This window comes from Homo sapiens, chromosome 12, assembly GCF_000001405.40.
Source record: "Homo sapiens chromosome 12, GRCh38.p14 Primary Assembly".
Taxonomy (NCBI): domain Eukaryota; kingdom Metazoa; phylum Chordata; class Mammalia; order Primates; family Hominidae; genus Homo; species Homo sapiens.
The window spans coordinates 125,242,728-125,267,006 of NC_000012.12; the positions used below are offsets into that span (position 1 = coordinate 125,242,728).

The 24,279-nt window shown below is 46.8% G+C and overlaps 1 protein-coding gene across 3 annotated transcripts in view, besides 1 other annotated feature; it reads left to right on the plus strand.

Annotated features, from left to right (window-relative positions):
* Positions 1–24,279, plus strand: part of TMEM132B (transmembrane protein 132B) — a 475,992-nt gene that overhangs the window by 56,342 nt on the left and 395,371 nt on the right. The gene's annotated exons all lie outside the window — the stretch shown is intronic.
* Positions 3,108–3,608: an enhancer, noted in NCBI's record as "H3K4me1 hESC enhancer chr12:125730381-125730881 (GRCh37/hg19 assembly coordinates)". NCBI's record gives its function as "activates a minimal SCP1, AML or CMV promoter by ChIP-STARR-seq in naive H9 embryonic stem cells {active_cell/tissue: H9 hESC(naive)}" and the evidence as "EXISTENCE:reporter gene assay evidence [ECO:0000049][PMID:30033119]".

The following is a 24,279-nucleotide window of genomic DNA, read 5'->3' on the forward strand; positions in this document are numbered from 1 at the left end:
CTCCTGTTCTCTGGGGCCAGGGTGCTGCCAAGCAGCAGTTGTCCCCTGGTCCAGCCCCAGAGCCTCCCACTGCCCACTGCTCCATCCTGTTAGTCCACTTTCTTTTTTTAAATTATGTTAAACACATAACATAACATTTACCATTAGTGCCGACTGGTGCTCACTTTGCTGTGCAGCCACCACCTCTCTCTAGTCCTAGAACATTTTCTTTTTTTCAATTTTTATTTTAGAATCGGGGTACATGTGCAGGTTTGTGCTCTTTTCTCTTTCTCTCTCTTTCTTCATATATATATATATATATATATACACACACACACACACACACATACATATATACACACACATATACATATATACACATACATATACATATATATATACACATATATATATATACACACACACACACATATATATATATATAATTTTTTTTTTTATTGGAATCTCACTCTGTCACCCAGGCTGGAGTGCAGTGGCATGATCTTGGCTCACTGCAACCTCTGCCTCCTGAGTTCAAGGATTCTCCTGCCTCAGCCTCCTGAGTAGCTGGGACTACAGGCACCCGCCACCATGGCTGGCTAATTTTTTTTTTTTTTTGAGACAGAGTTTCACTCTGTTGTCTGGGCTGGAGTGCAGTGGCACAATCTTGGCTCACTGCAACCTCTGCCTCCCGGGTTCCAGCAATTCTCATGCCTCAGCCTCCTGGGTAGCTGGGACTACAGGCGCCCGCCAACATGCCTGGCTAATTTTGCATTTTTAGTAGAGATGGGGTTTGACCATGTTGGCCAGGCTGGTCTCGAACTCCTGACCTCGAGTGATCTGCCTGCCTCGGCCTCCCAAAGTGCTGGGACTACAGGCGTGAGCCACTGTGGCCAGCCACAAAAGTATATTGGGTGATGTTGAGGTTTTGAGTACAAATGAGTCTATCACCCAGGTAGGGGGTATAGTACCCAATAGGTAGTTTTTCCAGCCCTTTCCCCCCATCCCTCTTCCGTCATAGTCCCCAATGTCTGTTGTTCCCATTTTTGGGTCTGTGAGTACCCCCGTTTAGCTCCCACTTGTAAGTGTAACCATGCAGTATTTGGTTTTCTGTTTCTGCAGACCTGAACGAATGCAGACCTGCAAATGTAGCCACAGCATTTGCCTCACCCTGAATGGAAGCCCCATACGTATTAGCAGTCACCGCCAACGCCCCCTCTCCCCCCAGCCCCTGCCCACCACTAACCTCCTTCCTGTCTCTCTGAGTTTGCCTATTCGGGACATTTCTTGTCAATGGAATCACACACAATGCAGCCTTTGTGTCTGGCTTCTTTCACTTAGCGTGATGTTTTTGAGGTTCACCCACGTTGTAGCCTGTGTCAGAATGTCATTCTTTTTATGGCTGAATCATATTCTATTGTATGAATATGCTGCGTTTTGTGTATTCGTCGGTTGATAGACGTGGGTTGTTTCCATCTTTTGGCTATTGTAAATAATGTTGCCACGAACATGAGTGTGTACATTTTTCCCGAACACCCATTTTCAGTTCCCTTGGGTCTATGCTCAGGAGTGGAATTGCTGGGTGACAGGGCAGCTCCATCTTCAACTTATTCAACTTATTGGGGAGGCTCAGTGCTTCTGGAGTGAGAGCAGAGGTGGGTGTGAGGCATGACCGCGCTATGGGGAGAGGATGGCACAGCTCTGTGCAGTGCTGGCCCCTCAGGGAGCTGCTTCTGCCAAACCAGCTTCCGGCCTGGGGACCCAGGGCCCAGACCCCGCTGATGTGGGGCCTTGCTTTCCCAGGCTGCATCTTCCCCAGTGTTCTCTGTTCAACACCTCCTCTCGGCCACTGTCACTGGTATACACCCAAGGGAACTGAAGGTGGGTGTCTGGACAAAAATTTTACCAGCCAAGTGCCAGCGAAGTGGTTCCGACTGTGCTGGCTTATGGTAAGGAGACCTTCCTCCCCTCCCCAGAGAAGGTCAGTTCATTCACATGACAGCGAGACCCCCTTGAACAAAACCTTCAAAGCCATGCGAAGGGATGATGGCTTGTCCTCATCTAGGCAGCCGTTGCAGGATGGCTTTACTATGAAAATTCCCTCCTAGGTGAGAGTGCTGGTGGCAGCTCCTGAGCCGCTGAAAGAAGCATGGTGGAGTGGAAATGTCTGGCCAGGGGCCTTTAGGTCACCCCTGCCCCCACCATCTGCGTGAATTCACTTCCCTCTCTCGGCTTCCCCCTCAGTTTCCCCATTTGTGCAATTGGGGCGGATGGAGCTGGGCAACTGTTTCCCAGACATCAGTCAGCACCGACCATCTCTGCTAGTTTTTCCACTTAAAAGTATTTACCCAGGACGAGAGCAATTCTGAATTACTAGCACTAGTGGAAAGCCCGTATCCCTTGAAATAATTCTAAGGCAACAACAAAAGTACTTTTGTTGGTTTCCTCTCGTTTTATTGGTTGTTATTTTTCTTTTCACTTGGTTTCTTTTCAGAATCATTTTATAAAAAAAGGGCAATGTTGAAAATGAAGAACCTTTCCTTGTTCCCAGATGCCCCCCCAGGCAGCCCCCCACTGCAGTTCAGGAGGGAGGAAAATGACTTGCTACTCTGGCCCCCACCATGCCTGCCAGGAAAAGACCCCCCGCAACCAGGCAACTCTTGCCCCTCCCGCCCACCCCTCTGCAGGTTGATCCTGGTCACAGGTGGCCGAGGTAAGAACTGTTGGGATCAGGTTGGAATTCTGACCCTGGAAGGTCACAGCCAGGGCAGTCTGTGAAGAGCACATTGCCCTCTGACTCCTGAGACAGGCAGGACCCAGGATGGGGGGCTTCGATGGGGCCTGTGCAGTTCTGTGTAGCTAGACTTGGAGGGGCAGCAGCTGCTCCCCGGCAGGAAACAGTGTCAGACCTAGCTGGTCTCATCTGTGAAATGTTTGACGGTTCCAGCACCCCAGCCCCTTGCTCATACAGAATGTCGGGGGATGGGGGGGGACTTAGCCCTGGGAACAGGCCTGGCAGCATTGGTTCTTCTGCCAGGTGGGCAGATAGCCCAGGCAGTGCCGGGGGAGTGCTGGGCAGATGTCCCAGACCCTTCCAGCCTCTGGCTTGTCCCACATCACATCCTTGCAGGTGTCCCAGGCTTGTCCCACTACCCCACACCCCAGCAGTCCTCCAGGGTCCAGGCTCTGAAATGGGGTCCCGAGCTGCCAGGTCAGGCCTCCCTGGGGATACCTGAGTTGATTCACCCGACATCTCTGCAGCCAGATGCAGGCTGGGCTAGTGATAATAACAAGGACCATTTTAACACAAAACGGGACCCTCGTGTGCTTCTTCCACTGGAAGGATGGGCAGAGCCATTCCACTGACCAGTGGGGATTGATCTGGGCCCTGGCAGTGACTGGCGCTGCCTCTCCAGTGATCCAGTGATCCTGCTGGCTTTCCGCTTCATGACAGTGATAGCTCTCAGTATTGACTGGACTGGAGGTCGCTCTGTGCCGAGGAGAATGTCAAGCCTGTTAGATCATAAAAACCAGCATTGCTGTCAGTGTGAGCTTAGCTGGTGGCCCCTCCTTTCCCCGCCTTCCCTGCCACAGGGAACTCAAGCCGGTTTGGAGTTAGGGAGCAAGTTGATCCGTGTAAATAATGCAAAGGATTATGAATATGAATAGGGGACTCGTTCTGTTCTGAGGAAGTCAGCTTCCTGGGCTGCGTCTCTCATCTTGTTTATTAACATGCTGTCCCCACTCAGATGCCTTGTTTCGAAACAGCGTGCCGGTGTTATGATTGTGATTACTATTATTATTTGTGCAGTGGCATTTGGAAGCCCTTATTAAGTGATTCCCGTTTGCTTCGGCATGAATGCACAACATGCGAGACTTCAGGACAAGTTCAGCGTCTCCAGCACACACAGTGCCATTTAAAGAGGAAGCCCTGGTTCCAGTGTTGGCTTCAGAGAACAAACAAATACTGATTTTTCCATTTCGGGCTCTTTTGTGAAGTGCTTTGATTCTTAAATCGGAGCCGGCTTTCAGGCACCTATCTTCTCACCCTTTGTTCCTGTGGACAGAAGTGATGGATTTTGCAGTCTGGAGGCATCTGTCATTTTGAATCCATCTGCTTGTTAGGCACTTCCAGTGTCTCTGATGTGACACCATTTGGGGTTTCAGCATTTCATCACATTTCCCACCGGGAGAGCCTGGGGTTTGTGGGGGAGGTGGTGGGGGTAGGGGCACAGTCAGGATTTTCCACTTAAGTTATTACTATTTAAGGCTTGGGATAGTATTTTTAGAAGACATTAAATCAAATAAAAGGAATCTGAGAGGGGACCCTCCCCTATGCAGGAATATTTCTTCTGTGTGCTGTTTGGTTGCTTCCAGTAATGACGCACTCACTACCTATAAGGTAACCCATTCCATCAAAGTTCACATCTGACTGTTACGCCTTATTTTCTCCTTTCTTTGTGTCCATAATCACCCACCCCTTTGAACTTCTGGAGTTGTTCAGAACAATCCTAAAAGGCTTCTTACTTGTATGAGACACAAATATCACATCCCATCTTCAGGCTGAAAAAGCTCCATTCTGTCTGCTTTTAGTTTGATGGCAACTTGCATGGGACAGTTTCGTATAACAGGCTCTATCTAGTTTAAAACCTCATAGGAGACAGGTTCTGGGGGATCTTTGGAGGTTCTCCTAAGATTCTGCCTATTCACAGATGATGCGACATGAACCCATCTTTGATGCCCCTGCCAGGCCACTCCCGTCTGTACCCTGTTGAAAGGCATTCCTCGATGATTCTTCAGGCTTGATGTCCATGTTTCCATCCCAGCGATCATATTTGGTTTAGGGGTGGCTGACATATCTTGGCCCCAGGGAGACAAGTGACCAATCAGAGATAACATCCTGGCCAATCAGAGCACAGCCTTCCTATTGGCCAATCAGAACATGGCCCCCTGGCTAATCAGAGCACAGCAGCCCCCTGACCAATTAGAGAACAGCATCCCCCTGGCCAATCAGAGCATAGCATTTCCCCTAGCCGATGTCACCGGCCCTGGGATAGGCCTGACCTATTAGACCTCATTTCAGAACTTTTACTGGGACAGTGTGGGAACGTGCCGCCCCCACCTCCAGATGGCACGAAGTAGGGACTACTCCTTGCTGTCTCTTTTTTTTATTTTCCAGCCAATTAACTCACTTTTCACTTAAGCTAGTTTGAGTTGGTTTTCTGTGATTTGCAGCTAAAAGATACCTTGAGACACTTCCTGCTTTGGGGACACATCCTTCAGTGTGGCTTTGGATTAGCGCATGTGTTCTATGCAGCCAGGCAGCATGGCAGAAGACTTTACATAAAATCACAGCCACCATGATTTTTATTCCCAGAAGCAGATCTTGGAGGTGGTGACCAGGAAAGAGAGTCTGAAAAGAGGCTGTAACTGTCACCTGCAGGCATTTTGATACCCACAGCTTGTAGTTTAAAGCGACGGCTCTGCAATTCTGAGGTTCCCTGATCTTGTCTTTCTTCAGGAGGAAAAATTAGGAGCTAGCAGGAGATATAGTCAAGAAAAGAGAACCTCAGAAACACCGGAAAAAGCATCTTTATGAGTGTAAACCATATTAATTCAATCTATCCTTATTTAAATATCTTAAAGCTCACAACAGGCTTTTCTCAGAGGAGAAAAAGAAAATGAAATCTCCATATGGAGACTTGAGTTATTGTAATATTTTAGATAGGTTACCAGGGGGCATCAATGATTGCATTGCCATTGGTTTTTTACTACACTAACTTTATTACCTTTATCTGGATTTATATAGCGTTTGATAGAGTTTATATCGCTAGATGTGTAGAAAACCATCTGAATGTGCCTATAGCGTTGTGTCTGAGTGTGCCCCATGGAAGGCTAATAAATTATAAAGTAATCTATCTGTTCCACTTAAAGGCAGAAGTGTAGTTGATTCTGGCTGCTTTATTTATGTGTTGGCTTATGCTTTAGGCTAGCATTTTTTGTGGGAAGGAGACTGGGTCAGGGGAGTGGGGTATGGGGAGCATGTGAGGATGTCTGCCCAGTTGTAGTCGATTTTGGGCCTGCACCACAGTTCCCCTTCTCCCTCTGCCCACTGTGGCTGCTTTTTCCCCTTCTGCAGGTGCTGGTCTGAGGGTCCGCACCAACATGTCCTGCTGTCATCTCCATCAGTCTTCTTCCTGGGGAACCCAACCTGTGACACCTTCCTCTTATTAACCACCTGCCAGTCACCCAGACTGGTAACCCCTGGTTTAGGGCAAAGGTCAGGTCTAGGTGCCACTGAGCCCCTTATGAGCATGTGACCTCCAGGTGGAGTGGGGGAGGGCTTCACATACCTCTCTGGACTTGTGTTTCTCATGGTGACTTGGGATCGGTAAGACTTGTGCTAATTTTTCTGATCCTTGGACCACAGGACCTGAAACAATCTTTCAGACAAGTGACAGCTCAGAGGCTTAAATTAGCTCAGTGATTCTCACCCTTGAGTGAGCATAAGATCACCTGGAGGATTTGTTAAATGGCATCTGCTGGGCTCCATCCCAGAGTTTCTGATCGGTAGACCTGTGGTGGGGCCCGAGGATTTGCATTTCTAGCAGGTTCCCAGACGCTGCAGGTGCTGCCGGGTCGAGAACCACGCTCTGAGAACCACCGAGTGAAACAAAAGGAAAATTCTCACAAGGGCAGGAGCTGTTAGGTCTTTCTTTGAACCACATTGCCGAGGAATTATCTAGAAAGTTGATCTATTAGTAGTGATTAGTTTGCGGTGGGACATAGAATCCTCTCCCACAAAACCATCAGCCAGATGCCACAGTGGGTTAACTTTACTATGAGATGGCGATGAAGATGGAGATGATGTAATCATCACTGTGTCATCCAGACTTGCTTTTACAAACGCAGCTGTCTCTGACAGGGGTTCTGCATCACTGAAATTCATACCAAGATGGTAATTACTGGCAATGTCAGGCAGGTCTTGAAGCAATTTGACAGTTGTCATCAAGCTATCATCAAGCACTGGGTGACTGATTAGATGAAGGGATCTGTAAGACCCTTTCAGAGCTCGTGGTCTGACAATGGGAAGGGTGGGACAAGTATCCTTAATCTCATGTCACAGTTAGAAGAAACAGGTTCAGAGAGTCCCCCATCGGGCCACACAGCTCATAAGAAACTCAGTGGGACCTAGACATCACCTTTGCCCTGAATTAGTGGTTACCAGTCTGGGGGACAGGCCAGTGGTTACAAGGCTGAGTTCCCAGGAGGAAGACTCTGAGGCGGAGGCCAGAGTGCAGGGCGTTTTATTGGGAGAATCCCCCATTAAGCAGACATGCCTGTGTTTTTACACCCCTGACTGAGTCAGTTGGCTCTGCGTCACCCTGGGCACGGGCAGGTCAGCTGACAGCTAAGGCCACCCACAGCAGCGTCACAGCAGCTGGGCAAAAAGGCCCACATTGTGGGGGGATCTGGGCGGCACACCCCAGTGCCCAGCACAGCAGGTGGGAAAATGTGAGTGCTGCAGACAAGGTCCCTGGTGAGCTCCTCGTGGTATTTCAGAAGCCTGTGCAAAACTGGCTCATTTACCTGCAATAAGTCCCCATTGCATAAAGAAAATGTCAAGTCACTTTGCTCTTGGCAGAAAGAGTTACCTTGCTGTTCCATCTTGCACATATCAGGCCTTCTCCAGATTCTTTGACGCCCTCGTGTCTGTGGTCCTCTTGCCTTTGGGACCCTCGTCCTGGCCCTGCTGACCTTTCACCCTCATCGTGTCCCCTTCCCCTCTTGCTCACACTGCCCCCAGTCCAGGATCCTGCGCAGTCTCCAGCATGGAAACTTCGCTCAGGCTTATCACCAATTCCATCCAATCTTTTGTCTAAGCACAGGAGCACTTAGTGTGCTCCAAGAGGTGCAGGCTTTTGAAACTCAAAAATTGAGCATCCCCTTTGCTTTCCTTGGCTCTCTCTGGGTTCCCCCTTCCCTGAAGCAGTGAGCCCAGAAGACCCAGTGGACTGAGTAGGAGGGGGCTGCAAGTGAGAAAGAATCACAGAGCTCAGCAAGCACAGCGATTTATGTTTCAAAAATATCCCATCCACACTCAGGAGCCTGCAGGCCCCTGCCCACGGTCTGCTGGGTAAAAGGAAGTGGCTGTCCCCATCTTTACCTCCTGGAAATCTGAGTCTTCCTTTATTCCCTTAAAAAGCCCAGCACACTGTGCACACAACTGCCAAGGTGACCTTTCAGCATTTCCTCTGCTTCAGTGCCCTGTTCTCCTTATTTGATTTTGTTGTTACATTTAATGAGGTTTCTCTAAAAAGAAGAGATCATTTCCGACTATTGCTAATTTAACAATAAGTGGAAAAGCAGTGCTCAGGAGTGAGTGGCATCCCCTTTGATTTCTTCAGTAGGACATCATCCTTCAATAGGGCAGAGGTGTCTTCCTGGGCTGGCCTGAGAGATTAAGGATTTAATGGCATGGAGAAGGGATTTGCTTCTCCATACATGGTGCATTTAGCTCAGAAAGTGAGATGATTTTTGAAAATATCAAAAACTATCATTAATTTGGGCTGAACCAGCCAGTTTTAAACATTCAATATTAAATACCATGAAATAGCATTTTAGAAAAAAGAACTGGATGGAAATGTATTTTGCGTCTTGAGATTTTTCTTCAAGGATGGGGCTTAAGATGGAGTCATACTTAGGTTCAGCTATATGAGCCTTTAAACCAGGGATTGCAAACTGAAATACCTGCAGGGCTCACACAGGAAATGTATGAGAGGGAAGAAGTCTGGGTTTAAGAAATTCGCTGCTCTCTGCCTATCTTTGAACTCTTTTGATAGGCACTTGATTATAAAGAAACCTTTCTCTACCATAAGAAAAATAGCATTATAAACTCAACGAGGCAACTGATACCCAGGCTCGGGGCTGCTGAGACAATAGGGAACGGTGTGGACTCTGGCAAACTGGAGACCATGTTCCCCAGATGAAGGGGACAGTGGTAACTCAGTTCTAGTTTATTGGTTCTGTTTGGGAGTAACGAGCCCAGTGTTGCCAGAGCTGATTTTCCTAGAAAGGCCATTCGTTTGGATTTTCATGTGAAATTTCCCAAGTTTATAACGTTAATAATCATAATTTTAAAAATATCGGGTGGTCAAAACAAAGCAAAAGAACAATACAGCACTTTAGAACACAGTTAGGTGCCACATCTGGCCTGAAGGCCTTTATGCATGATCTGAAGTTATCTAGAATTTGGGAGCTGGAAGGATTTCTAGGGTGCACCAATTTCAACCTCCCACCTAACTGGGGAGAGTTGTATGTGAAGCCTTCTTACAAAGAGGTGGTCTTCCTCTAGTATACACTGACACTGGTGCACCCACTACCTAACGTGATGGGATTGCCACTGTTTCCCAGCAAGAGTTGTAAGAAATTCTCTTGGGTGATAAATAATGACAACCAAGACAAGCCAAAAAGAAGCTCAGGGCAGAATGCAGCTAGTGGGCCTCAGGAAGGGCCCGGAGGAGGCAATGGGAAGCCACCAGAATTCCCCTTTCCTGGGCTTTGCTTCCCTCTGCAACTTGCTTTCCCTCTCCCTTCTCTCTAGTGAGTGCCTTTCTCCAGGCCTCCGGTTCCCACGGTGGCATGTGGTGGCCTCACAGCTTCTTCCGTTAGGCGTGTCTGTTCCAGCCTCCCACGGAGGCCTGCACTCGCTGTCTCTGGTTCTCATTTCCAAGGGTCCAGGAGAGAGAATCTGATTGGCTCACCTACAAGCAGGTGTCGTGCGCTGGTCCAATCAGCTATGGCCAGGGGGTGAGATCACACAGAACAAAGATGGCTTCTGAACAAACCTGGCCAACTCCACGGGTGGGAAATGTCATGTGACTCCCACAGTTCACCCGGAACCCCTAGAAGGTGTCCCTGTGATTCTGTTGCATGGACTTTTGTCTCAGAGAAGTCTTCTGCTGTGGCTCCTAATCCTGCCTCCCACAGAACCACACAGACAAGCCCAGGGTCCCTGCCCCATGACCAAGGATGACTGTCTCCCCTGAGGGTGGATCTTCTGGCTCAGTACCCACAGTTCCTCCCCGTTTCCCAGCTGATTAGGTTCCAGAGTCACTCTCCGGTCTGTGCACTCGCTGGGGAAAAGCTCAAATTGGTCAACATTTTCTTGAAACAGGGTACCTGACCTCATCCCAGACCTCTGGGACAGTTGTAAAAGTAGTGGCATTTCTAAGAACTCAAAGGGGTTAACTGTAAGACGAAAACAACTTTAAAAAATCTGTTTGCTCTGTGTCTGGAGCCCCGTGGAGCCGGGAGGGAATAGCCTTCCTCCTCGAGAGATGCTGAGATGGGAATGTGAGCTGTCTTGTTGTAAGAAATTCATCTGTCACTGCAAAGGAGCTTGGCAGAGGAAATGACCCCCTCGTGGAGGCTGCCTCTGACCCCCTCCTCCCCACACAGAATTAAACCCTCTCATCTCTGCATTTTCTCAGCACTTTATCCACCTTGTCATGAGAGCTGGGTCCCTGAGTGTTGCCGTTGGTTCATATTTATGGAAGCTTCACCATGTGCCAGGCACTGCGTTAAGTCCATTAATGAGGACTAGCCAGTTATTCGTCTGTGCAAAATCTGCTAATGAAACAGTAATAATAATAAAGCCTATTTATTGAGCACAGTGCTGAGAACATTTCATACATCTCTTCATTTTCTTTTTTCTTTCCCCCCCACTTTTTTTTTTTTTTTTTTGAGACAGGGTCTCACTCTGTCGCCCAGGCTGGAGTGCAGTGGTATAATCATGGCTCCCTGCCACCTCAACCTCCCAGGCTCAAGCAGTCCTCCCACCTCACCCTTCCTAGTAGCTGAGACTACAGGTGTGTACCACCACGCCCAGCTAATCTTTGTTTTTGGGCAGAGATGGGTATTCACCATATTTCCCAGGCTGGTCTCAAACTCCTGAGCTCAAGTGGTTCTCCTGCCTCAGCCTTCCCAAATGCTGGGATTACAGGCGTGAACCACGGTGCCTGGCCCATCCCTTCATTTTTTATCCTCATAATAACCCCATGAGGCTGTATTGTTATTATCCCTATTCCAGAGCCCAAGAAAGTTACAATAATATGCTCAAGGTCACCCGGCTAAGAAGCAGAGGGTCAGGTTCTGAACCTGGGTCTGACTTTGGCATTTGCAGGGGGCATCACTCTCTTGAACAATGTTGTGTTTGTCTTTGTTTCTGTGGAGCTTGGCTTTTGCAGAGAGCTTGAAATAAATGGGCGAAGGAGGGAAGGAGCAAGAAAAGCCAAACTAGACTGGGCGCGGTGGCTCATGCCTGTAATCCCAGCACTTTGGGAGGCCGAGGCGGGAGGATTACTTGAGCCCAGGAGTTAGAGACCATCCTGGACAACATAGTGAGACCCCATCTCTACAAAAAATGCAGAAATTAGCTGGGCCTGTGGTGCATGTCTGTGGTCCCAGCTATTCAGAAAGCTGAGGTGGGAGGATCACCGGAGGTCGAAGCTGCAGTGAGCCACGTTTGTGCCATTGCACTCCAGCCTGGGTCACAGAGTGAGATCTTGCCTCAAAAAAAGAAAAAAAAAAGAGCAAAACTAACTTTGAGAAGAAGAGCAAAACCAAAAAATTGTAGACAAGACCTGGCGGCATCCTGATCAGGAGAACTTAAGAAAGGAGCTTGGGCGAGGTTCTGTTTGCCTTCATCAGCCCCCTTAGACTGCAGACTTCAGGAAGCAGCAGCAGATGTTTCCTTGAGGTTTTGCTTGTAAGTTGGTTAGTTTTCTGTCCATTAACCAAGAGAGCCACAGCTTTGCCTGGGGAGCCTCCTTACCCATCACCTACACAAAGACCCTGCGAGATTGCCTGTATCCCCTCCAGAGACACTTGGATTAGAGATGGAATTGCGTATTTGTTTAAGTGCAAGGTCCTCTCTCCTGGGACTTAGGAATGGGCCTAGGAGCCTCTTCCTACTTTTTTTTTTTTTTTTTTCAGATGGAGTTTCACTCTTGTCACCCAGGTTGGAGTGCGGTGGCACAATCTCAGCTCACTGCAACCTCCGCCTCCCGAGTCCAAGTGATTCTCCTGCCTCAGCCTCCCAAGTAGCTGGGATTACAGGTGCCTGCCACCACACCCGGCTAATACTTTGTGTTTTTAGTAGAGATGGGGTTTTGCCATGTTGGGCAGGCTGATCTCAAACTCCTGATCTCAGGCAATCCACCCGCCTCAGCCTCCCAAATTGCTGGGATTACAGGTGTGAGCCACTGTGCCCGGCCGCCTCTTCCTACTTTAAACGATGGGGACTGTGACGAGGAGGTTGACAGGAAGCTCTCCTCCTCTTTGATTTGATGATATGCGTGGAAATGCGGGGAGCAGCTGAGGGAGGGTGTTGCTTTGCATTTCAGTGGGGGTTGCCGAAATCCACGTGATGTGCCCTTGCCTTTGCCACCCTCCATCCCTAGCTCAGAACCAAGGTAGGGGCTTGCGGGGAGGAGAGGGTGGCAGCTTGCGGAGCAAATTCTCTCTCTTCTCTCTCCTCTCTCTCTCCTCCTCTCTCTCTCTTTCTCTTTCTTTCTTTCTCTCTCTCTCTCTCACCCCCCCTCCTCTCTTCTCTCTCTTTCTCTGTATGTGGGCGCGAGGGGGTGGGGGTTGTAGAGCCACAGTTGCCCACGGGGGCGGCATGGCTGTGCTGTAGGCTTTAGGCAATTATCAGTTCTGTCTTTGATTCTGTTCAAGGTGACTGTCAAAAATCCGCAGACTTTCCTAATGAAATGGAAAAGTGTGCAAATGTATCCTGCTGCATACAGATGCCTTTTCGTCTCCTAAAAATTGCTCCCTTGGGTTCAGCTCCACCATATTAAAGGATCTTTTCTTGTTCAACAATTAGTACAGTCCACCTAGCGCACCTGCTTGAGCCTGGTCCTTGGAGAGTGCCGGGCAGGGACTGGGGATCTTGGAGCGAGGTCTCTGCCCTTTTCCTTCCTCTCTTAAAATTTTATTTATTTATTTATTTTGATCTCACAGGGGCAGTTGGAATACAGGTGAAATGAGATGTTCTCGAGAGTGGATGTGTCTGAGGGAAAACGACATCTTTCAACAAGTAGAGATGAAAGATGGCTCTGGAAGGACATGTTCTGGTTGAAGCTGTCACAGCGACTGATTGTGGGTTTAATGAAACTGGTATCTGATGCTGAGAAACAATTAGTAAATTCACCTGGGCCCTGTTTTATGCTTCTGTTGTCAACCCTAATCACTGAGTTTTAAGTCATCTGGTTTTGTGTGTCGCTTTTTTTTTAATTTTAAAAAGAAAAACATTTGAATTTCTCATCTCTTGGATTTCACAGAAGCGATTCTGGGTCAGTCAGTGCGTTCATGTCCTGGCCCCTGTCATCAAACTCTGAAGATCTTGCTGCAGCTGAAAATGATTAGCTTCTGCTGGAAAGAGACAGAGGCCAGCTTCAGGAATCCGCTGCACTTTCTTCTCTGACAGCCGTGCTGGAAAACAGGGAGGTGTTTGGAAATTGCAATACAGTCTCTAAAAAAGGGAGTGGGCCACATCACAGGATTCATATATTTTTAATACAGCCTCGCTGAGGGCAACTTAAGAACATCAGCTGTGCTGCGAGGAAGGTCAGTCATGGAGGGGTGGTCAGGGGAGCCGGTAAACTTGCTTTCAGGTCTGTTGGTGCTTGCGTTGGAAGGCAAAACTTTAACTTGGAGCTGAGATTTGCAAAGTAGGGTCTTTGGGTCAAATCCGGTCCCCAGCCTGTTTGTTGTAAATTAAGTTTTATTGGAACACAGCCACACCCATCATTTACATATTATCTGCAGCTGTTTTTGGAGCTACAAAAGCAGAGATGAATAGACGTGACCTGCAAAGCCTGAAATATTCGCCATCTGGCCCTTTACAGAAAACATTTGCCCACACTTTCATTAGAGGGTTCCTCTGCTTTTTAAGTTTGTATTAGGTTGGTGCAAAAAGTAATAGCAGCTTTTGCAATTACTTTCAGTTGCAAAAACCGCAATTACTTTTGCACCAACCTAATATTATAAAAGTGAGACGATGAGGCAACTAAATTGTGCAGTCAGTTCAGGGCTGTTGAGGACTGTCCATTGACCTGCGCTTCACCTCTTCTGGGTAACTTTTCTGTTCATCTAAGGGTGAGCAGTTGAGAGAACAGGGGGCTCTTTACACAGAGATTTCTGCTTCTCAGGAGCAATTCCAACAAGAAGCCTTTTCAGAGAGGAGTTGGAGATCCTTGTCTTCATGAGGCCTGGGATTTATTAGAAATTGCAGTTTTTGTAGGTAAAAAAGATGGTCAAGGCCAGCACGGTGGCTTATGCCTGTAATCCCAACACTTTGGGAGGCTGAGGCAGGAGGATTACTTGAGGCTAGGAGCTTGAGACCCACTGGGAAACATAGCAAGACTCCAACTCTCAGAAACAAAAAAATCTGGTGTGGGGATGTTCGCCTATAGTCCCAGCTACTTGGGAGGTGAAGGTGGGAGGATCACTTGAGCCCAGGAGTTCAAGGCTGCTGGGAGCTATGATCATGCCACTGCACTTCAGGCCGGGCAACAGAGAAAGACCGTCTCTGAAAAAAAAAGTCAAGTAGCAATTTCACCTGGAGGCTCCCTGTTTCTACCGTTGGTCAGTGCAGGGAGAATGAATGACCAAGCAGGCTTTTCTGCGTGCTGTTGAATCTCTGCTGTTGCTCCTCCAAACAGATTCTGCGTTTCTGGTTCTGGCTTCTGTCACCAGATGTGGCACTGGCTGAACCCTGTGCATGTGTGGGTGGTGTGCGGGAGCTGCTCTGTTGTCCAGGAGCTGGACCTCCTGTCTTGGATGGTGTGGTAGGCTGAATAAACCTCCTTTCCACCAGGATGACCCCCATTCCTGGAGCCTGTGAATGTCACTTTATATGCCAAAAACTCTATAGATGTGATTATGTTAAGGATTTTGAGATGGGGAGGTTATCCTGGATTTTTCTGGGTGGGCCCTAAATGTAGTCAAAGTGTTAGAGGTGGGCAGATAGAGATTTGACACAGACAGAAGAGAAGGTGATGTGGCCACAGAGGCAGAGACTGGGATGATGTGGCCACAAGCCAAGGAATGCCTGCAGCCATCAGCAGCTGGAGAGACAAGGAATGAATTCTTCCCTAGGGCCTCTGGGGGAGTGAGGCCCTGGCTACACCTTGAATTCAGCCCAGTGTTGCTGATTTTGAACTTCTGGCTTCCAGAACAAAGAGAGTAAATGTGTATTGTCTTAAGCCACCAAGTTCATTTCAGCACAATTTGTTACAGCAGCTATAAGACACTGATGCTATGGTTTTTAAACTGTGCAAGTTTTTGCCATTATTTCCCTCTATATTTGTTCAGGAAATATTTACAGGGAGCCTCTTGTGTGTAGGCACTGTTTAAGGGCTGTGTACAAAGCAGGCATGGTTCCTGCCTTGGAGAAGGCAGACAAATGAGACGGTTTCATGAAGCAGTAAGTGCCGTGTTCCAGGTACTATTGCTGCATAAGAAATTACCCCAAACCTAGTGTCTTACAACCACCATTTTATTATGTTCTCAGGTTCTATGAGTTGGGAATTTGGACAGAGTACAGTGGAGGTGACTTGTTTCTGCTCCACAATGTCTGGGCTTCAGCTGGGAAGGCTCTATGCTGGTGGTGACTCAATAGCTAGGGGCAGGAAGCACCAATGACTTCCTCATTCATATGTCTGGCTCCTGGGCTGGGATGGCTTGAAGATTAGAGCTGCCAATCTGAGTATCTTCATGTGGTTCTGTGTGTGATTGGGTTTCCTTACAACATGTTGGCCTCCAGACTCCAAGTGCAAGGCAAGCTGCATGGCCTTTGAGGATCCTGTCTCCAGAGTCACATAGCATCACTTGTATGGCACCCTGCTGGTCAAAGTCCTCATAAGCCCACCCAGATTGAATGGGAAGGGACATAGACCCCACTTCTTGGTGGGAAGAATGACAAGATGACATTGTAGAAGAGCTTGTGGCATGGGACGCGGTATGCTGCTATCTTTAAAAAATGCAATGTGCCACATGCAGAAAAATGATAAAACAGGATAACGGGATCAGGAGTGACTGGGATGTGGGGGCTGTTGTAGATTGGATGATCAGCAAAGGCCTCTCTGCAAGGTGTCATTTAATCTGAATACTGAATGCGGAGAAGGAGCCATCCTTGGAAAGATCCAGAGAAAGAGTGATCCAGGCAGCGGAGAGGCATTGTATCCTTAGTAGACATACGATACGGCATTGAGCAGTCAGCAACAACACCATGGCCAGTTGGGATGGACGTCAGCTGTGAACTGTGAGGATGACTGTGCCAGTGATGTTCCAAGAAGAGGGAAAAAAATGAGGGAAAAGTCTCTGGGTGGGAATGAGTTTAGCTTTCCCAGTCAACCTATCTTATCACCCCATCACCCTGTTTTATTATCTCTTCTGCATGTAGTTGCTTTCTGAAATTATTTGTCTACTTCTTGATGCTTTGTCTCCCCCACTAGATTAAAATCCTATGAGAACAGGAACTTTGTCTTGAAAACCAGCATTCTCAGTGTGTAACAGGATGCCCGGCATCTATAGGCATCCGATAAAATTCGTTGAATGAATGACTCATGCTTGACTAGGTCTACCTCTTAGCCACACAGGGCTGCCTGGCAGAGGGTTTCTCCTTGAGTTGGATGTCTGTCACTTCAGTAATTGTCACAAGATTTAAAGAATTAGAGAAAAGCCCAGCAATGTCGTCAGCCTTCTGGATGCTTGAAATTTGTCACCGGGTTGAGTTGGAACCCAGTAGTGACGCTACTCATAAGGGCCGTTGGGTCTTTTAAATGAAATTCTCTTTCCTGGGTTTGAAAAATGCTCTAAGAATTGGGAGGGAACCCTCCTTAAATGGTTTCTGTAATTAATCCCCGGGGACTCGTCGGCAGTGGCATCCCACTCATTACTTACGCACAGAAATAAAGATAAATGTGTCTGGATAATAGCCCTGGGAAGGTATAAATCTTGCTTGTTTATGGGGGAAGGCAGCACACGAGGACTTAATGCTGCGGTTAAGGTTTTGTTGGATTTATGAGAACGCGCATACTGGTAAGAGCTGAGATTTAGAATCAAGGTTAAAAGAGAGGATGGGGGTGCTGCCGCCCTCGTGGCTTTGGGCTGAGCTCACTGCAGAGTCTTCCAGTCAGCTCTCGGTGACCTTGTTTGCCCAGAGGGGTCTCTTCACTCATTTGTGGATTTGGCAGCCATCGTCCTAGGGAAGGGTTTCTCCCAACTGTAGAAATTATGTTTTGCATGGAATGAGCCCATGGATGCAAGCTAACTTGGTAGAAACCACTGGTATCCACACTGAAGAGATTGTGCAAGCCAGGTTGGAGCTTTGAGAGAGAGATCGAAGTGTATGTTGGTACCCAGAGACGTATTTTGTTCTGTCATTTTGCCACCATTCACTTACATGTTTGGTCAACGTTTATGGAGCTTTGGGGCTCCTGTCTTGCGCTAGAGCTTGCAGTTTTGGCAAAATGAGTCTTGGTCTCTGGAGTACATCACTACTTGAAATAGTTCCAGGGTTTGCCAAGCTGCCGCTATGACCTAGCCACCATTTAAGTGTGTACAAACTCTATTATGACTTATTTATGTATGTTTTTCTATTTTTTAGAGATAGAGTCTTGCTGTGTCAACCATGGTGCGATCATAGCTTACTTCAGCCCCTAACTCCTAGGCTCAAGTGATTCTCCTGCCTCAGCCTTACAAGTAGCTGGGACCATAGGTCTTGCTAAGGTTTACCTTTTTTTTTTTTTTTTCGTAGAAACAAGGTCTTGTTATGTTGCCCAGGCTGGTCTCAAACTCCTGGCCTTCTGCCTCAGCTTCCCAAAGTTCTGGGATTACAGATGTGAGCCACTGTGCCTGGTCAATATTTATCTTTAAATTGCCCCACTTGTTTTCAAACTTAATGCCAAGTTTAGCCTTGTCCTAAGGTATAAGTATTACTGGTTTGTTGTGCTGGTTATATTTCTTTCTAACTCATATTAAAATAAATAAAGGCTGGGCATAGTGGCTCACTCCTGTAACCCCAAGCACTTTAGGAGGGCGACGTTGGAAGATCACTTAAGCCCGGGAGGTCGAGGATGCCGTGAGCTATGATTTCACCACTGCACTGCAGCCTGGGCGTCAGAGCGAGACCCTGTCTCTACAGATTGTGTGTGTGTGTGTGTGTGTGTGTGTGATTAATACAAAATAATTTCCCTTGTCTACCACCTCAAACAACCAAATAATGTGTGTGCCATCCAGTCATCTTCTGCCTCACTGATAGGTAGGCTGTGTGCACACTGGTTGTGTTTACATTGGCTGAATAGCGTACCTGCTTTTCCAGTGCAATGAAACTTGCAACTTCCACCCACTTGTCTTCCCGGTGAGAAGTTTCTGGTCCAGGTATTTTAGGGCAAAGATACATCCTGTCTTAAATTCTGTGACTGTTTTCAGTGCCCATTTTTTCTTTCTTTTCCTGCAAAATGATGTAAGGGCACATACAAGAAAGAATCTCTCAGATCACTGTTCATTGACTGCCACAAAATTCAGAGTGAGTCTCCTCAGAGGTCACTTTTCATGGACCTGAAATGTGCTATTATATTCTCTGGCTTCTATCCTAGGGCCTGGGATGGGACTGTGTACCAGGTGGTCTTCGTTGCTCTAATATCGTTGTCTGATTTAAAGATCCAGTGGAATTGATTTTAATGCTTAGCTGAAAGAGAGAGGAATTCTGCACACTGGTGATATTTGGTGAGAGGTGAACTCATGTATACCATGACCATATTTCCTATACCCCAAATCAGGATGTATTATCTGAAACTTATTAATATTCCGTGCTCCACAAGTGCAGAAAATTCAAATTGTCATTAGTAGCTATGTGATTAACCAACGGATTTTATTGAAAGAATAACATTACATGAAAATGTAATGGTTTCAGAATATCTGGAGTGTATGGAGGCTGAATGGAAGATTTATTTAACCAGAGGAAGGCCAGAAAAAGGGGTTATATGTGTCCCTGGACACTGGCATTTGCTTCCATAATCAATGGCCCTTATTTCCCCTAAGCAGGAGATGAAAAATGATGCCCACTTGCTCTGACAGGGTCTCGCTCTGATGCCCAGGCTGCAGTGCAGTGGTGAAATCATAGCTCACTGCATCCTCGACCTCCTGGGCTCAAGTGATCCTCCAACGTCGGCCTCCCAAAGTGCTTGGGGTTACAGGAGTGAGCCACCATGCGCAGCTTATATTTATTTTAATATGAGTCAGAAAGAAATATAACCAGCACAACAAACCAGTAATACCTATACCTCAGGACAAGGCTAAACTTGGCATTAAGTTTAAAAACAAGTGGGTCAATTTAAAGATAAATATTGACTGGGCACAGTGGCTCACATCTGTAATCCCAGAACTTTGGGAAGCTGAGGCAGAAGGATTGCTTAATGGCAGGAGTTTGAGACTAGCCTGGGCAACATAACAAGACCCTGTTTCTACAAAAAAAAAAAAAAAAAAAAAGGAAACCTTAGCCAGACCTGGTGGTATGCACCTTTGGTCCCAGCTTGGATTCAGTCCAAAGACTGAATCTGACCAACAGATATGTTTTGTTTTGCTTAAGAAGTGTCTGAAAAAATAGGGGCCAACATAAAAAAAAATGGACTATTGCTCATAAATAGCTGTATTTTTGGTCTGTCTTGAAACAGAGAAAGCACTGGCAACATTGGCTGTGCATCCCCACTTAGAAACAGGCTTTTGGAATGGTGCTGATGAGTGTGTGCCCCCTTTAGTTAAGGCGTGGGCTTGCCACTTTGCCACAGTCACCACCACCCCCTCTTGTCTACCCTACATTGAGGCTGTCAGTTACCATTTATAATCATTCTTGAACTATAGTTTTTCTTATGGGAGACAAATATCTCTCTGTTTCCCAGAAAGACGCTGTCAAAAATTAGAGGCTTCCAGAGGGCTGTGTGTTTAGAGAACAATAGGAGAGAACATCTTTGTAGAAGTGAAGATCATTCTCATGTATTTAATATTCAAGCAAAGTGTGTTGGCTGCCTCTGTTCATTTACTGTTGCTGTCTGATCCCTGCAGGCATTTGACTTTCTGACCCTTGGATTCAGCTAAGAGGCCAGGAAGGGCCTCTTCAAGGCAGACCGACTATTGGGGAGCACCTTGCAGAGCCTGGTGCCCCCAGATGCAATAAACCAGCCTCCCAGGCCCCTTGAGCATGGAGTGGATTGGAGTCTGTTTCATCCTTAATGAATGAATTGAATAGCTCACAGCAGGGGAAGCTTTTACCCAGCAGTTTTCCACTTAGAACTGCTCGTTCCTTCTCAAGTAATCAACTGAGTTTGCTATTGTCTATTATCCCGTGGTATTGGCAGTGGTGGTTTTACATCTGTGGGGACAATGATCTCCTGACTTTGAGGTCAGATTTTTCTTATGTAATGTGTCTGTACCCTCCACTTCACCTAACACCGGATGCAGCTCAGAGTGGAATGAACATTTGATGGGAGCAGCTGTTTTTCTGCTGGACAGTATGGAGAGGTACGTGCCTCAAAGCATCATACTGGAAGCAAGACTGCATGTGGCATTGTGCAAGCTGTCTGACCTGGCTGTGCCTCAGTTTCCTCACTTGTCGACTAGGCAGAATAATAACACATTCTCATCAGGGTACTACGATTCTTGATAAGCTCTGACATGTAAAGTCCTTGGTGCCTGGCACTTGGCGAGGACGTTGTGTTTTTGTTCCCTTCTCTATACCTCAGACTCGGAGTAGTGCCTAGCACATGTGAGGTCTTCGTGCATATTTGTTGTTTCTGGCCGTATCTTCAGCACCCAGGACAGTTCCAGTCCCTTGGTGGTCAATAAATGTATCAAGAATGAATGAAGTGTTTCAAAAATTTTTTTTGAGGTTGGTGTGTATCTGAGATATGGGTATAAAAACATCTTCTCCAAACCGGAAGTCAGATGTGCAGTATAACCAAGGGTTTTGGTGCAAGAGGTGGCCTGGGAGATGTGATTGGATGTGAACTGTTAGTGTCTGTGGCTGTGTTAATGGTTTATGGGTGAAATCCAACCAGATGTAGAAAGTCACAACCATCTGAGGGAATTGTGGAGTAGGTTTGGCCCAGACATAGTCCTGGGTACTGGCTGTTTGGGAAAACTTGTGGTGTTCCATGTATTAATTTTCTATTGCTCCTGTAACACATTATTGGAAATTCAGTGGCTTACACACACAAATCTATTATCTTACTGTCTAGAGGTTGGAAGTCTGAAATGACTCTTAAGGAATGGAATCAAGGCAGGGCTGTGTCCTTCTGGAAGCTCTAGAGGAAAATATGTTTCCTTGCTTTTTCCAGCTTCTAGAGGCCACTTGCATTCCTTGGCTTGTGGCCCCTTCCTCCGTCTTGAAAGCATGCATTCAACCTGTCTCCATCGTCACATCGCTTCCTCTGCCTCTGCCTCTGCCTCTCCTGCCTCCCTCTGATAAGTGCCTATGAGATGATGTTGCACCCACCATGGTAATCCAGGATATCCACCCCATCTCAAGATCCTTAACCTAATCACATGTGCAGAGTCCCATTTGTCTTATAAAGTAACATATTCACAGGTTCTGGGGTTTAGGATGTGGACATTTTGGAGGCAATCACTCTACTAAGCTTTTGAGGGTCCCGGGAAGTCAGAAAAGGTAGGGTGTTCTGGATGGGCTTTGGCAGCCTGGAGGGGCCCAAGCGAAGCAAGGTGGACCATTCTGGGCAGATAGGGCCTGGGGCCCAGTTGCTGGAGTGTTGATGGGGGATGGACTGTTTTGGGTGGGAGGAACATTACCAGTTGTTCCCAGCTCAGGTCTTTAGGGGTCTCAGAAGCAGTTGGGTCTGGGAGAGTGGAGCAGCTCACAGCTGGTGCACAACTGTTGCGTGGCAAGCATGCAGTTCCCTGCAATAAAATGACACACCTTGTTCTCAAACACAATTTAAAGTGGCCTAATTTGTTTTCTGGTCTGCTTCTCCTTCACCCCCTCGATTATAAAGTCCATCTGCATTCTTTTCCCCTTGCATGAATGCAAACACCCAAACGCATGTGCATAGACACGCTCAGCCCATCTTTCCTTACGAAATTCATTTATTTTTTGAAATTTTCATTGAACTATAATACATAGTTATGCGTTACTTAATGACAGGGATACCTTCTGAGAAATTTGCTGTTTGGTGATTTTGTCACTGTGCGAACATCACAAAGTATATTTATACAGACCCAGGTGGTAGAGCCTGCTACACACCTAGGCTATTAACCTGTACAGCTTGTTACTGTACTGAATACTGCAGGCAATTGCAGCCCAGGGATAAGCATTTGTGTATGTAAACATCTCTAAACATGTATAGTAAAAATATAGTATTTTAATTCACAGGGTATGCATGGTCTGTTGTCGACAGAAATGTCATTTTGTGGTGCATGACTGTATGTAGATATAGTATTCCCCGCTTGTCTGCAGGGGATACATTGCAAGATCCCCAGTGGACGCCTGAAATCACAGATGGTACTAAATCTTATATAGGCTGTTTTTTCTATACATACATACCTATGATAAAGCTCAATTTATAAATTAGACATAGTAAGAGATGAATGACAATAACAAAATACCACAATTATAACAATATACTGTGATAAACATTACGTGAATGTGGTCTCTCTCTCTGCCTCTCAACATATCTCTTTGCCGTACTCATCGATTTTTGGACCCCAGTTGACCATGGGTAACTGAAACCACAGAAAGTGAGAGCAAGGAAAAAGGGAGACTACTGTATATACAGAAAAGGGCACAAACATCACAAGTGTACAGCCTGACAACTTTTGCGAACTGAACACACTCATGAAAACAGGGGCCTCTGCAATCTGCACCTAATCACACAGCACCCTCCTTGACCCCAGGTGACCACCATCCTTCCTTCTACCAGCATAGATGACCTTTACCCTTTACCTGTTTTTTTACTTTCTATAAACAAGTCATGAGACTGGAGCTCTTGCTTGACTCATGTCTGTGCGGTTTATCCACATTATTACAAGTAGTGACTTCTCATTCATTCTCATTGCTGTAGAACAGAGAGGTTGGCAGAGTATAACCTATGGGCCAAATTGAGCTTGTGAGCTAAGAATAGTTTTTAAGCTTAAAGGATTATATATTAAAAAAAACCCCAGGCCAGGCGTGGTGGCTCACGCCTGTAATCCCAGCACTTTGGGTGGCCGAGGCAGGTGGATCACCTGAGGTCAGGAGTTCAAGACTAGCCTGGACAACATGGTGAAACCCTGTCTCTACTAAAAATACAAAAATTAGCCAGGTGTGGTGGCGGGCATCTGTGATCCCAGCTACTAGGGAGACTGAGGCAGGAGAATTACTCGAACCCTGGAGGTGGAGGTCTGGGTGAGCTGAGATCGCGCCACTGCACTCCAGCCGGGGTGACAAAGAGAGACCCTAAAAAGAAAAACCCAAAATTAAAAAATTAAACCCCAGACAAAGAAGAATATGCAGCAAAGACTAAACGGCCAGTACAACCTTAAATATTTACTCTCTGGCCCTTTATGGAAAACATTTGCCAAGGTCTGCTGTTGAGCATTGACTTATGTGAATCTATCACTGCTTTCCCATTCTATCGCCAGTGGGCACTGGGTATTACCTTCCCTTTAAAATCAATTTATTATAACTGAGCATAATTATAATTAAAATCTTAAGAGTAATATATGTACATGGTCAAAATGGAAACACACAGAATGGCATGGAAGCAAGTCTAGTTGCTCAGGCCAGGCCTGCTCACAGAGATCAAGTAATTGCTCACAGCATTTTCTGCTTTGGAGATTTTTCTGTTTTGGCATGGTTGGGGCTGAGGGTCAGGTTTGGGTTGGGTTAGGCCTTCTCCACACCACACTTGTAAAAAATGTTACCCAAGTTTTCTTTTGATACTTCAATGATTTCTTTTGAAAGTATTAGATATTTGGAATTTATTTTAGCATCAGGGTGATTTTGGGCTTCTTATCCAAGTCCCAGTAGCTCATGAGATTGTCTGGCTGTGAGTTATCAGTCAAGTCTGTGTTTTCTGACTGCCTTGAAGTCATTTAATTTGAAAGCGAATGTGTCCCATGGCACTCTGGGCTGGGCTGTCCAGTGAGACCACAGTGGTGAGCAAGTCATTGTATTGGACCCAGGATAGTGAGCCTTGGTGAGTTCAGGATGGTGAGCCTTGCTGGTCAAGCAGGCCAGGC